Source organism: Homo sapiens, chromosome 3, assembly GCF_000001405.40.
Source record: "Homo sapiens chromosome 3, GRCh38.p14 Primary Assembly".
Taxonomy (NCBI): Eukaryota; Metazoa; Chordata; class Mammalia; order Primates; family Hominidae; genus Homo; species Homo sapiens.
The window spans coordinates 194,607,775-194,621,971 of record NC_000003.12 but is presented as its reverse complement, the minus strand read 5'-3'; the positions used below and the strand labels follow the sequence as shown (position 1 = coordinate 194,621,971).

General features: G+C 50.6%; 1 protein-coding gene across 4 annotated transcripts in view, besides 2 other annotated features; it reads left to right on the top strand.

The window, feature by feature from the left end:
• TMEM44 (transmembrane protein 44) overlaps positions 1 to 14,197 on the top strand; it is a 45,742-nt gene that overhangs the window by 11,448 nt on the left and 20,097 nt on the right. For 3 of the 4 annotated variants that reach the window (NM_001166306.2, NM_001011655.3, NM_138399.5), the window contains exons 6-8: positions 4,703 to 4,873; positions 6,275 to 6,403; positions 10,952 to 11,056. In NM_001166306.2, the coding sequence (NP_001159778.1) occupies positions 4,703 to 4,873; positions 6,275 to 6,403; positions 10,952 to 11,056 (405 nt within the window). Of the gene's footprint in view, positions 1 to 4,195; positions 4,337 to 4,702; positions 4,874 to 6,274; positions 6,404 to 10,951; positions 11,057 to 14,197 lie in introns of all 4 variants that reach the window. The other variant, NM_001166305.2, reaches the window with a different exon arrangement.
• Positions 2,318 to 2,818: an enhancer, noted in NCBI's record as "H3K4me1 hESC enhancer chr3:194339883-194340383 (GRCh37/hg19 assembly coordinates)". NCBI's record gives its function as "activates a minimal SCP1, AML or CMV promoter by ChIP-STARR-seq in primed H9 embryonic stem cells {active_cell/tissue: H9 hESC(primed)}" and the evidence as "EXISTENCE:reporter gene assay evidence [ECO:0000049][PMID:30033119]".
• Positions 4,118 to 4,412: an enhancer, noted in NCBI's record as "tiled region #9326; HepG2 Activating non-DNase unmatched - State 23:Low". NCBI's record gives its function as "activates a minimal TATA promoter and a strong SV40 promoter by Sharpr-MPRA in HepG2 cells {active_cell/tissue: HepG2}" and the evidence as "EXISTENCE:reporter gene assay evidence [ECO:0000049][PMID:27701403]".

Genomic DNA, 14,197 nt, shown 5'->3' with positions numbered 1-14,197 from the left:
GGGAGGCCGAGGCAGGTGGATCACCTGAGGTCAGGAGTTCAAGGCCATCCTGGCCAACATGCTGAAACCCCGTCTCTACTAAAAATACAAAAACTAGCCAGGCGTGGTGGCGGGTGCCTGTAATCCCAGCTACTGTGGAGGCAGGATGGATCACTTGAATCCAGGAGGTGGGGGTTGCAGTGAGCCGAGATCGTGCTGCTGCACTCCATCCTAGGTGACTGAGCACTACTCCATCTAAAAAAAAAAAAAAAAATTACTTGCCCAGGAGCATCTTGGTTGAATAGCAGCTCCAGGGGAACAGGATTCAGGGCTGGAGGGTTGTTCGCGGTTGTTGGTGAAGTCAGTGAAGCTGCATTCTGTGCTGTGACTGCCAGAAGCCTCGCAGGGCCTGGGCCTCATCAGCAGGTGTCCTGTCTTTAGATTAATGGAGGGGAGAGTGGTGAGCACTGGGCTCAGCTCAGCAGCCCACCGGGGTGGCTCTCCAGGGTGGTGTCAGAGCTGGGAGACCACATTGCATGAAGGCCTTTGAAGAAGCTGGCACCGTGCCCTGACCGCCGGTAGTAGCTCCCTAGGGCTGTCGTAACAAAGTGCCACTAACTTTCAACAACAGAAGTTTATTGTCTCGGTGCCAGAGGTCAGAAGTCTGAGAGCAAGGTGCCGGCAGGGCCATGCTCCCTCTGCAGGCGCCAGGGAAGGATCTGTTCCAGGCCTCGCTCCTCTCCCAGGTTCGGGTAGCCCCTTGGCTTGTGGTAACCCTGGGTTTCTCGTGGCCTTCCCTCCGTACCTTTCTGTGTCCGACTTGCTCCTTTTTATAAGGACATTGGAATGGGACTCATCCTAATGACCTCATCTTGACGTGATCATCCACAAAGACCCTATTTCCAAATAAGGCCGCATTCACAGACACTGGGGGTTGGGACTTCAACATCTTTTTTTTTTTTTTTTTTGAGACAGAGTCTCGCTCTGTTGCCCAGACTGGAGTGCATGATGCAATCTCGGCTGACTGCAACCTCTGCCTCCCGGGTTCCAGTGATTCTGTGCCTCAGCCTCCCAAGTAGCTGGGATTACAGGCACACGCCACCACGCCCGGCTAATTTTTGTATTTTTAGTAGAGACGAGAGTGCACCATGTTGGCCAGGCTGGTCTCGAACTACTGACCTCAAGTGATCTGCCCGCCTTGGCCTCCCAGAGTGTTTGGCCTCACAGGTTTGAGCCACCACGCCCGGCCTAGGGACTTCAACATCTTTTGGGGGCACACATTGCAACTCATAACACCACCCCACCTAAAACAGCCCCCAGGCCAGCCCCACCACTGTGTCCCCTCACTCTGCTTTATTTTCTTCAGATCATTTGTAACAACCTGAAATGTGCCCCTTTATTTTCCCGGTTGCTGCCCGGTCCTGAGGTGGAATGTTAACACCTTGTGGGCAGTGGCCTTGTCTGTGTCATTTCCCACTGCATTGCAGGCACCTGGGACCTGATCATGGTAGGAGTCAGCAAACACTTAGAGAGCAATCTAATCTGGCCTGGAAAAAAGGAAGCTGATGAGTGCAGGAATCAGAAGGGCTGTGTGGGGGCAGAAAGAGCAGCCTTGTTCTCTTAAGTCTCAGAGAACAGAACCAAGACAGGGAAGAGGTTGGGGGTGGGCCCTTCCTGGTATTTTTTTTTTTTTTTTTTTTTTTGAGTCGGAGTTTCACTTGTCAGCCAGGCTGGAGTGCAATGGCACGATCTCGGCTCACTGCAAACTCCGCCTCCTGGGTTCAAGCGATTCTTCTGCCTCAGCCTCCCGAGTAGCTGGGACTACAGGCATGCACCACCACGCCCAGCTAATTTTTGTATTTTTAGTAGAGACAGGGTTTCTCCATGTTGGCCAGGCTGGTCTCGAACTCCTGACATTCGGTGATCCACCCGCCTCGGCCTTCCAAAGTGCTGGGATTACAGGTGTGAGCCACTGTGCCCAGCCCCTTCCTGTTGAGTAAAAGGAAGAACTTCAGGGTAAGACACTGTACAGTGCCCAGCATCTGGAGAGCCGCCAGCATTACCCCTGCCTTAGGAGGTAGTCGTCTCCTCATCACTACAAGGTATTGAAGCCTGAGGGCCCCTGGGCAGGACGATAGAGTGAGATTGCCCTGGGGACTCAGGAAAGGAAACATGCCGTATTTCTAGGGAAGGAGCTGCTGCTGCCTCTCAGTGACTCTGGTTCCAGGAGGAAGAGCCGAGAGCTAGGGTTCCCTTCATAGGGAGAAACCCAGCAGGGTTTGGGGTGTTCTGGGAAGCCAGGCCAGCATGGCTTCAGACCCTGGCTCTCCCAGAAGCTGCTCCTAATTTGGCCATGGTGAGGTTGCTGAGGAGAAGATGGCTGGGTGGCTTTGGTGGGAAAGTTCCCATTGCTCCAGGAGTGAGTCCTCGAATGGGACAGGGGTACGAAACACCCACTGATGAGTGAAGCGTTGTGCTGACACCAGGAGTCCTGGCAGCTGCAGAGACCATCCGAGGCCTGTCCTGCCTCCAGCCCCTTACATGGATGTGCCAGGCAGCCCAGGCTGGGGCGTGCTGCCGACCTCCATCCTGTCTGTAGGCAAGGCCTGCCTAGGTTGGAGAGGGACTGCCATGTCTCATCCAGTCACAATCCAGTTCCGTTCTTCAAGCCGTGATTAAGCATCTACTGTTTGTCTGGCACTGCAGATAAATAGAGCTCTCTATTTTTTTCAGGGTCGGCCCCAGGACTGACCCTGAGAAGGGACTGATTTGGAGGACAGTGGGCGCTGTCACTGGGTTAGCATGTGAGCGAGGACAGAGGGCTTCCCCGTGCAGTTCATCCTGAGCAGCAGCAAGAGCAAGGCCAAGAGGCAGGAGGCCCAGGCCCAGCCCCACTCTGGCCGTCAGTGTCCTCTGTAACATGGTGGTGGGTGGTTAGGTCGGGGGGCCCCAAGCACCTCTAGCCATAGCAGTGCTGCTTCCTGTGTGAGATAGGAAGGGCCGATGGGAAAGGGCGTCGTCTCCACCCTCAGCCTCTGGGCCCAGCGGGCCAGGGCTCACCCTCCCAGCCGGCTGCTCCACGGAGAAGCGTGGGACTGTGCTGTCTCTCGGTTAAGCAGTCTTCAGGGCGCAGGCCAGACACAGGGAGGCCTGGAGACAAAACTGGAGGGGACGCAGAGGGAAATGTGACACTCTTAAGGATTCTTTTTGAGAATTAAACTTAAAATGGGGCAAAATTGGCCAAAACATGCTTTTTCTCCTGAATTTTTCCCATTCCCTAGCCAAGGCCTATATATCTGTAAATATGGTCATGAAATGAACATATTTAATGAGTCATCTAATGAGTTTATATGTGTATTATGTATATAAACTAAATTTTATATGTATTATATATAAACTGAATTATATATATAAACTAAATTATATATAAACTTAACTATATATAATTTAATTTATATAAAACTAAATTATATAAATATAATTTGTATATATATGAACTCATCTAATGAATTATAATTTAGTTTATATATAACTCATCTAATGAGTTTAATATAAACTATTTACAATTTTTATTCATATATATTTAAATATATAAGTATGTAATCAGAAATATATGGTGTTTGTGTATATACATATTCATATATATAGTGACTTTCTGTATATAAAGGCTGCTTACATAGAAATATAAATAGTGCATATTTCCTTTTATTGAACCAATAGTTTTATTACATATTCTCCAGAAATGTCCTCTTGGCTTTAAAATTTCCAGAATATCATCTCTCATTTTTCGGATCTTCCCCATGTGACCTGGGTCAGAATCGGGGTCCCAGGGAGAGAAGGGCCGGGCCTCAGCTCTTCTGATCCGGTCTCTGTGTTAGGCTGTTCTTGCATTGCTCTAAAGGAATGCCTCAGGCCGGGTCACTCATAAGGAAACCAGGTGTAATTGGCTCACGGTTTGGCAGGCTCCCAAGCATGACGCCAGCATCTGCTGGGCTTCTGGGGAGGCCTCAGGGACCTTTTACTCATGGCGGAAGGCAAAGTGTGAGCAGGCAGAGAGAGAGAGAGTGCAAGAGGGTGGAAGGGAAGGTGCCACACACACATTTTTGAACAGCCAGATCTCAGGAGAACTCACTCACTGTCGTGAGGACAGCACCCAGGGTATGGTGCCAGACCATTCATGAGATATCCACCCCATGACCCAACCACCTCCCACCAGGCCCCACCTCCGACACTGGGGATTACGACTCAACATGAGATCTGGCGGGGACAAATGTCCAAACCATCCCAGTCTCCCTCACGTTCTCCCAGCGGACATTGGCGAGCCGCTGCCCAGCGTCAGGTGCTGGGCACTGAGATGGTGAGGACCCCTGCCCAGCCCTCAGGAGCTCTCTGACTGTGTAAAGAGCTGAGTCATGATCAATCAAAGGTACTCCGCTGGAGGGATGCGTTAGGGCCCAGAAAAGGGAGTTGCTTGCTCGCCTTAGGGTGGAGTTGGTAAGGGGAGGTTTCCCAGAGTTAAGTTGAAGCCAGGTTCTGAGGGATGAGTAGGAGTTTGACAGGCAGAAGAAGCAACTCGAGCAAAAGCTGTAAGTCTAACAGAAGCATTGCCCTGGAGGACTGGCTGCAGGCAGAGGGCTTGCCCCGCAACCTGCTGTGCCACTGAGGGCCCTGGGTCTTGTGATCTGCTGCTTCTCCCGCCCAGCCCCTCCCTCTCTCTGCCCAGTGCCGGGGGAAGACATTTCCCTCCATCCACCTGTGGACCCGGCTCCTGTCGGCCCTGGCTGGCCTCCTCTATGCCTCGGCCATTGTGGCCCACGACCAGCACCCTGAGTACCTGCTGCGGGCCACACCCTGGTTCCTGACCTCCCTCGGCCGTGCGGCACTGGACCTCGCTGTATCCACCCCAGGCCTGGGGAGCTCCCTGCTTGCAGCCAGAGGAGGCCTGTGTCTCGTCCTCTCACTGCCCCTGCCCCACCCTTCTTTTCTCTTGCTAGATGGAACTCTCCCAGCAGTAAGGGAGTGGTTTGAAGCTTGGGGCAGGCAAACACAAATGCAATTATTTGTAGTTTTATGTTTCCTTTTTTTGTTTGTTTGTTTTGAGATGGAGTCTCGCTGTGTTGCCCAGGCTGGAGTGCAGTGGCGTGATCTTGGCTCACTGCAACCTTCACCTCCCAATTTCAAGCAATTCTCCTGCCTCAGCCTCCCGAGTAGCTGGGACTACAGGTGCATGCCAACACGTCTGGCTAATTTTTGTTATTTTTAGTGGAGACTAAAAATGTTTGTATTTTTAGATGCTGACTGTGGTTAATGGCTGTGGCGTGTTGGTGGTGGGGTGTGTGTGAAGGCAAGGCAGGGCCACGCCGTCTGCAGGCGCTAAGAGGGGAATCTTCGCTTGCCTCTTCCAGCTGCCAGTGGAGCTGCAGGAGCTGCTAGTGGCTCCTGGTGTCCCTTGATGCATGGCAGTGTCGTTTACATTTCTGCCTTGCCCTTCATGTGGCCTTCTTCCCTTTGTGTATCTTCGTGTGTCTCCTTTTCTTATAGGGACCCCAGCTGTTGGAGTTAGGGCCCAGTCCAATCCACTATGACTTCATTGTCTAATTGTATCAGCAAGGACCCTACTTCCGAATAAGGTCACAGTCTGGGCCGGGCACGGTGGCTCACGACTGTAATCCCAGCACTTTGGGAGGCCAAGATGGGAGGATCATCTGAGATCAGGAGTTTGAGACCAGCCTGGCCAACATGGTGAAACCCGGTCTCTACTAAAAATACGAAAATTACCCGAGCATGATGGCAGGTGCCCGTAATCCCAGCTACTTGGGAGGCTGAGGCGAGAGAATCGCTTGAACCAGGGAGGCAGGGGTTGCAGTGAGCTAAGATCATACCACCGCACTCCAGCCTGGGTGACAGAGCGAGACTCTGTCTCAAAAAAAAAAAGGGGGTCACATTCAGAGGTGGATCTGAATTTTGAGGGACACTATTCAACCCACTGCATGTATTGTCACTGTAAGCCAGGCCTGTCAAGAAAGACGTTTTCCAAAATGCTTTAGTTTTGCAAATATTTACCATGTCCTTGTTAGGGACAGGGTCACATTGGATGCTGGGCCCTCGTGAGGACAGGAACATCCACCCTAGCCCTGTCTTCAGATGAGCTCCTCTCTGTCCCAGGCAGGATAATACAGGGGAGGGAGGAGAGTAGGTGAGTGGGGAGGGGGGTGGCAGCATGGTGTGGAGGGGTGAAGGGCCACGCTAGGCAGCTGGAATATTCTGCTTCCTACCTTAACTTACACCATCTCAGATTATTTTCCTTTCGTGTGTGATGAAGAGCAAGATGAGACAGGCCTTAGGATTTGCCAAGGAAGCCAGAGAGAGCCCTGACACCCAAGCCCTTTTGACCTGTGCAGAGAAAGAGGAAGAAAACCAGGAGGTGAGGAACGAGGACAAGGTCTCTCTGGCTGGAAAACTCTGGTCCCAGCAACAGTATCTTGAGAAACAGCAGGATACTGCGGACGGACGTGTGAAAGCTGCCTGCCGAGTGTTCTCTGCAGGCGACTCAGACAGCTGTCCTGTCTCGCTGAGGGAATAGTGGCCAAACCTAACACATGACATGTAACGGGCCCTTCCTGTTTACTGGCATGGAGTGGACGGGGCATTGAGCCTCCATGAGGGCCGGGGCTTGGGAATTCCAGAAGTCCCTCCCTGCTTGCCCAGTTGGTCGCTTTATTTTTATTTTTTTTTAATCTATTGATTGATTGAGATGGAGTCTTGCTCTGTTGCCCAGGCTGGAGTGCAGTAGCACAATCTCAGCTCACTGCAACCTCCGCCTCCCAGATTCAAGTAATTCTCCTGCCTCAGCCACCCAAGTAGCTGGGATTACAGGCACATGTCACCACGCCCGGCTAATATTTTGTATTTTTAGTAGAGACAGATGGGGTTTCACCATGTTGGCCAGGCTGGTCTCGAACTCCTGACCTCAGGTGATCTGCCCACCTTGGCCTCCCAAAGTGCTGGGATTACAGGCATAAGCCGTGGTGCGTAGCCCAGTTGGTCACTTTAAAAAGCTACTGTCTATGTTCAAAGCTAAGGGAAGCCTGAATGCCATAGGATCCTCCGGTTTCGCAATTATACAAATGTTTTGAAGTTTTTTGGTCACTTAATGGCTTATATTTTTAGCAATGTAGATGGAATAGTCGCATGCCCACTTGAAGCTTTTGAATAATTTACTTACTGGTAGTTAAGTTCACATGCTACATACCTTAATATATTCATTTTTAAATAATGTGATTTTTGGCCGGGTGCAGTGGCTCATGCCTGTAATCCCAGCACTTTGGGTGGCCAAGGCAGGCAGATTGCTTGAGCTCAGGAGCTCAAGACTAGCCTGGGCAACAGGGTGAAACCCCGTCTCTACCAAAAATACAAAAAAAATTGGCCGGGTATGGTGGTGTGTGCCTGTAGTCCCAGCTACTTAGGAGGCTGAGGCAGGAGGATCTCTTGATCCTGGAGGCAGAGGTTGCAGTGAGCCAAGATGGCGCCACCGCACTACAACCTGAGCTGCAGAGTGAGACCCCATCTCAAAAACATAAGTAAATTATGTGATTTTCACTCATATTTCTTCAAAAACTGTATTCCCACTTTCACATGCATCTTTAATATCCACATCATTACCACCACCTAACACGGTGCTCCAGAGCCTGTCGTCATGCCCAGCTACATGATCCAGCCTTTGGAAATCGGCTTGTGATGCTGCCTCTAGAAAGTCCTCTCAAGCCACGAGGACCCATTTGCTGTTTGTGGTCACTGCAATGTAACTACTTACTCTATTCCTTGTGGTTTTTTTGGTTTTTTGTTTTGTTTTGTTTTATTTTGTTTTTTGGAGACGGAGTTTTGCTCTTGTTGCCGAGGCTGGAGTGCCGTGGCACGATCTCGGCTCACCACAACCTCCGCCTCCCGGGTTCAAGCGATTCTCCTGCCTCAGCCTCCCAAGTAGCTGGGATTACAGGCATGCACCACCATGCCCGGCTAATTTTGTATTTTTAGTAGAGACTGGGTTTCTCCATGTTGGTCAGGCTGGTCTCAAACTCCCAACCTCAGATGATCCGCCCACCTCGGCTTCCCAAAGTGCTGGGATTACAGGTGTGAGCCACCGGGCCCGGCCTATTCTGTTTTTTTATGCTAGAAATCTGATCTTTAAGTGTTGTTTAGGAGGTCATGTGCAGTGGCTCACGCCTGTAATCCCAACACTTTGGGAGGCCGAGGTGGGTGCATCATGAGGTCAGGAGTTCGAGACCAGCCTGACCAACGTGGTGAAACTCCTGTCTCTACTAAAAATACAAAAATTAGCTGGGTGTGGTGGCACGCGCCTGTAATTCCAGCTACTCAGGAGGCTGAGGCAGGAGAATCGCTTGAACCTGGGAGGCGGAGGTTGCAGTAAGCCAAAATCGCACCATTGCACTCCAGCCTAGGCAACAAGAGCAAAACTCCGTCTCGAAAAAAAACTTTTTTTTTAAAGTGTTCATTAAGCCAGGCATGGTGCCTCATGCCTGTAATGCCAGCACTTTGGGAGGCCGAGATGGGCAGATTGCCTGAGCTCAAGAGTTCGAGACCAGCCTGGGCAACGTGGTGAAACTCCGTCTCTACTAAAAATACAAAAATCAGCTGGGCGTGGTGGCGGGCACCTGTAATCCCAGCTACTCAGGAGGCTGAGACATGAGAATCACTTGAACCCAGGAGGCGGAGGTTGCAGTGAGCCGGGATCGTGCCACTGTACTCCAGCCTGGGCAATAAAGTGAAAATCTGTCTCAAGAAAATAAATAAATAAATAAATAAAAATAAAAAATAAGTGTTGTTTACAGCAATATCAAACCTTTACAATTATGTCATGCCACCGGCTAAAGTTAATGCGTCTCCTTTTATTGATTTAAACAGATGACCTCTACAAGTAGTCAGAACTTACTCTAATTGAGGCCATTTGTCTTCATCAAAAGTTTTTGGTTCCAAATAATTGAGAAAGTAACTCAAAGAAAGCTTGTAAGGACTTGAATATAGGCTGGGTGCAGTGGTTCAGGCCTGTAGTCCCAGCACTTTGGGAGGCAGAGGCGGGCGGATCACGAGGTCAGGAGATCGAGACCACAGTGAAACCCCGTCTCTACTAAAAATACAAAAAATTAGCTGGGCGCGGTGGCGGGTGCCTGTAGTCCCAGCTACTCGGGAGGCTGAGGCAGGAGAATGGCGTGAACCCAGAAGGCGGAGCTTGCAGTGAGTCGAGATCCCGCCACTGCACTCCAGCCTGGGCGACAGAGCGAGACTCCGTCTCAAAAAAAAGGACTTGAATATAAAATGGCTCCCTCTTTTCTAAGATTTCAATTTTTTTTTTTTTTTGGAAAAAACTCTCATCTATTACCTGGGCTCTTCACTACCTTAGACTCCTCTCACAGAGAGTGGGTGTGAGGCTGTGAGTAACTTCCTCCGTGGCCAGGATGGAGGAAGTGATGGGGAGTGCATTTGGACCGACAAAAACAAAAACTGCCCCTCCGAATGTTCTCCAAATGGCTTAACCATGTGATCCGACTGAGTCCGTGAAATAGAAGATCGTGGTGTATGTGACGCAGAGGAAAGCATTTTTTATATAGGTGCCCAGACCAAAGAGCCACGTTCCCATGAGGCCCTAGTGGGAAGTTATTTTCATTTCTTTCTAGCAACTGTTAGGAAATTATATTCCAAAAGGGGGCCAAAATATTAACAGAGCCCTGTGTGTCTTGGAATTCTGAAGAGAGAAGTAGAAGCCTCTGGAGTCTCTAGCAGTTCTTCAGAGCAGTGGTTCTCAAAGTGTGGGCCCTAGACCAGGATTACCTGGGAAACTGTGAGAAATGCAGATTTGGGGGCTCCACCCAGATCTCCCGAATCTGAAACTGAGGGTGTGGTCCAGCAATCTGTATTTTATTTATTTATTTATTTATTTATTTATTTATTTATTTTTGAGACGGAGTCTCACTGTTGTCCAGGCTGGATTGCAGTGGCACGATCTCAGCTTGCTGCAACCTCCGCCTCCTGGGTTCAAGCGATTCTCCTGCCTCCGCCTCCCACGTAGCTAGGATTACAGACACACGCCACCTTGCCCAGCCAATTTTTGTATTTTTAGTAGAGACAGGGTTTCACTATGTTGACCAGGCTGGTCTCGCACTCCTAACCTCAGGTGATCGGCCTGCCTCGGCCTCCCAAAGTGCTGGGATTACAGGCGTGAGCCACCGCGCCCGGCTGCAATCTGTATTTTAGCAAAACCCACAGGGTGCTTCTGATGTGCATCAAGGTTAGAGAACCACAGCTTTGCAAAAGCACTTATTGGGCACCTATTGCAGTGGTTCGCAAACTTGGCCGCACGTTAGAATCATCTGGGGCGCGTTTAAACGATCCACTTCCCGGTTACATCTCATACCCATGAAATCAGAATGTCTGGAAGTGGGAAGTAGGCATTCCTTGTTTTGTTTTGTTTGTACGACAGGGTCTCACTCTGTCCCCTAGGCTGGAATGCAGTGCCTGGATCACAGCTTCACTCCAGATCGCTGCTCAGCTGGGGATCTTAAAAAGCAGAATAGGCCGGGTGTGGTGGCTCACGCCTGTCATCCCAGCACTTTGGGAGGCCGAGGTGGGAGGATCACTCGTGGATCACTTGAGCCCAGGACTTTGAGACCAACCTGGTCAGTACAGTGAAACTGGTCTCTACAAAAAATAAAATAAAATAAAAAAGATTCCTAGCTGATTCTACTGTGTTGCAAAATTTGGGAAACACTAAATGACTGTGGCCTCGAAGAGAAAGATAAGACACATCTTATAGGAAGCAGAAAGTGAGACGTGCCGTTAAAAAAGAGAGAGAGAAAATACCACGGGGGTCCTTTTGAATAAAATGTGACCTTGTTTTTAGAAAATGCCTCCTGACTTTGAGAATTCCCCTTTCTGTCTCCCTGCCTCTACTTGCAAGAATTTGGATTGGGTGCCTCTCACCACACTGTCACACTGCAAGTCACTGAGGACAATGACAGCAATCAGTCGCTACATGGAGCTGACCATCGAGCCTGTGCAGCAGGTGAGTGGCCATCGGTCATGGCCAGGTGTCTGAGAGGATGGGAAGCAGTCATGGAAGGCTTCCTGGAGGAGGTGATGCTTTAGCTGAGGGATGAGCAGGAGAAAACAAGAGAAGCAGGTAAAAAAGAAGGAGCTGTCCAAGGCTGCAGTGGAGGGGCAGATATGGGGGAGTGTTGGAGAGAAAAATATTTTCCCTGTCCCCTCTGATGAAACACAGAGTAACAAGAAAAAACAGCTTTAAATGTACAAAGAAAAATGTGGCTCAAGGAGGTGGCCAGTTGATGGAGGCGTATATACCATATTAGGCTAAATCAAGAAAAAGAGGTTTGGGGTTCTGGGGTGGGAGGCAAGGTGAGGGAGGACCTGTGTGGGAAATAAGGGTTTTCTTGCTATGCAGGTGAGAGTCTCTCGGGTGGAAGTAGCTCTCTTCCTGGTGCAGAAATATCTTTACAAATGGAAATTTCCTTTATGAAAGGGAAAATGTGTACTCTCTTTTCAGGCAGTTAGGGGAGGTTAATAGCTTCTGCTTCTGCTGGTTTTCAAAGACCTTTAGATCTAAGGAATCCATATGCTAAAGAGGCATATTTCGGGGTGGTATATGCTGGTACCATTTAGGAGTGAGGGGAGATGAAAGGGCTGGAGGAGGCAGGGGTCGGGTCGTTTAGACACGGAGTCTATCATCTTTTTCTCTCTTTTTTTTTTTTGAGACACTCTGTCGCCCAGGCTGGAGTACAGTGGCATGATCTCAGCTCACTGCAGCCCCCCGGGTTCAAGTGATTCTCCTACCTCAGCCTCCAGAGAAACTGAGACTACAGGAGCCTGCCACCACGCCCAGCTAATTTTTGTATTTTTACTAGAGACGGGGTTTCACCATGTTAGCCAGGCTGGTCTCGATCTCTTGACCTCGTGATCTGCTGGCCTCGGCCTCCCAAAGTGCTGGGACTACAGGTGTGAGCCACTGCGTCCGGCCGTGTCTATCATCTTGAGAGTGATGGGAGTCAGGAGGCTTGAGTACTGGAGACTCAGGGTCAGATGTGCATTTTAGAGCCATCTGGGGAAGTTGTTGCGGGTGGCCTGGGGGAGAGGAGAGTAGCAGCCGAGCAGTCAGTCAGGGCCAGTTGGAAGCCCGAGGAAAAGGAAGTGTGGCCTAAACTGAGGTTGGAGCAGACGGAGAAGCAGAGACAGAGTTGAGCGAGTTGGGAAGTGGAGCGCTGGAGGGGTGAGGAGGTGCGGGTGAGGGAGGCAGGGCTCCGGGTGACTCCCTGAGTTCTGGCCTACACGAGGGGTCCTCAGGAGGAAGAGAATTGGGAAAGAGGTGACGAGAAGTTCACCCCATGTCCCACTATTCCACCAAGACTGTCTTGTCGAGGTCACCGATGACCTCCAAGCTGCTAAGTCCACCATCATTCCATTCTGAGAGTCCACGCACTCGGCCACCAGCTGCTCCTGGCGTCTGTGGCCCCCACTCTTCTGTGTTTCCTGCCACCCTCACAGGCTCTTCTTTCCCCTCGGCCTCTGCTGGCTCCTCTGGGTAAGCTTGACTGTAGAGAGGGAGTCCAACGCCCTGTCCCAGGCAGGCTCCCTGCTCCTGGTGGGCCCTGCAGTCCCACAGTCCCCTCGCTCTGCACACCAGTTCTTGCTGACTTCCCCCATTCGTGTCTCCGTCCTTTCCCCTCCCCTCAGTTCCCATCTCGGCTGCCCAGCTGCCCATTCAGCTGTCACCATATGGCATCTCACGCTTACCTCGTCCAACACAGAATTCTGGATTTCCATGCCCAGACCGGCTCCTCTCCCCATCTTCCTCATCTTAGTAAATGACGCACTGTCTTTGCAGTGGTTCAAGCCCAAAATTCCTCTTTCCCTGGCCACACCCCCATGCCCATCCATTCCTTTTGAGAGTCCTGTAAATGCTTCCTTATTTAAACTAGGTCTTGAGTCCAGCAGCCTCCTGGCTGTCATCCTCTCCACTTCTTCTGTGGTCCTGCCCTGCCCATCTCTAACGAGCAGCCAGAGGGATCATTCACAAATGTAAATGACATCTTGTTCCTCCTTTGTTTAAAACACTCCTCTGGGCCAGAGCTCTTGGTGGCCCACACCTGTAATCCTAATACTTTGGGAACCTGAGGTAGGAGTATCGCTTGAGGCCAGGAGTTCGAGACCAGCCTGGACCACATAGCGAGACCCCATCTCTCGTCTCCTGTTCACTCCTGTCTAGCTGCACAGAGTTTCTCTCCATTCCTCTGCCCAGAATGCTCTCCCTCCTGATTTTTCACAGCTGCCTCTTTCTTGTCTTTCCAGCTTCAACGTAAATGTCTGCTTCTCCAGAGCTCTTCCCTAACCACCCAGTCCGAAGCAGGACCCGTCTGTCCTTCTCCTCTATTTTATTACCTATTGAAATTCTCTGCAAAGCACTTATCACGATCTTTTACTTTGGTTTGTCTGTGTCCTGCTGAGATGTAAACTTTATCTCCTGTCTCGTTGACTCCTGGTGCCTATAACCTTGCAGTCCTGGGCTCTCAGTAAAGGTGTGTTTTGAATATATGGTCCAGTGGTGAGGGCCCCTGCCAGGCTGCCCAGACACACCGGTGCCCGGAGAGACTCGGCTGAGAGAGAGGTTTTGCTGTTTGCTGTTGTTGCTCCTTGTATACTGGGTGCACAGAACCTTGTGTATGACCTAAGTGAAGTTCAGAGAGATTCAGAGCATGCCTTTGTAGCTAAGAGCCCACTTCAGCCATTAAACCATCCTTCCGAAGGGAGGGAGGAGGCAGGGTGTGTGGGGAACCCTTGGGAAGGCACGGGAGTTCCTGCAGCATCTGGCCAAAGCTTTGCACTGGGAAGTTCTACATCATGGGACTTCTGAAGGAGAATGTGTAAAAGTTGTATTCACTTTAACCCTTCCAGTAGCTCAGTGTCGAAGGGATTCTTGTTGGGGAACAGACTCCATGAAAGAAGAGTGTGTTCCACCTTCATTCCCTCCCACTGAAGCCCACAAGTGCGTCTTTGAGCTTCCACCCAGCTTTTTCCTTCTGTGTCCATCAGAGGGCTAGAGGGAGCCCCGAGCCCCACTGTCCAGCTGGGCTGGCAGGTGCCTCCCTCAGCACTAGGGGCACCCCTCCCATCATAGCCTGTCTACTGAGGGTTA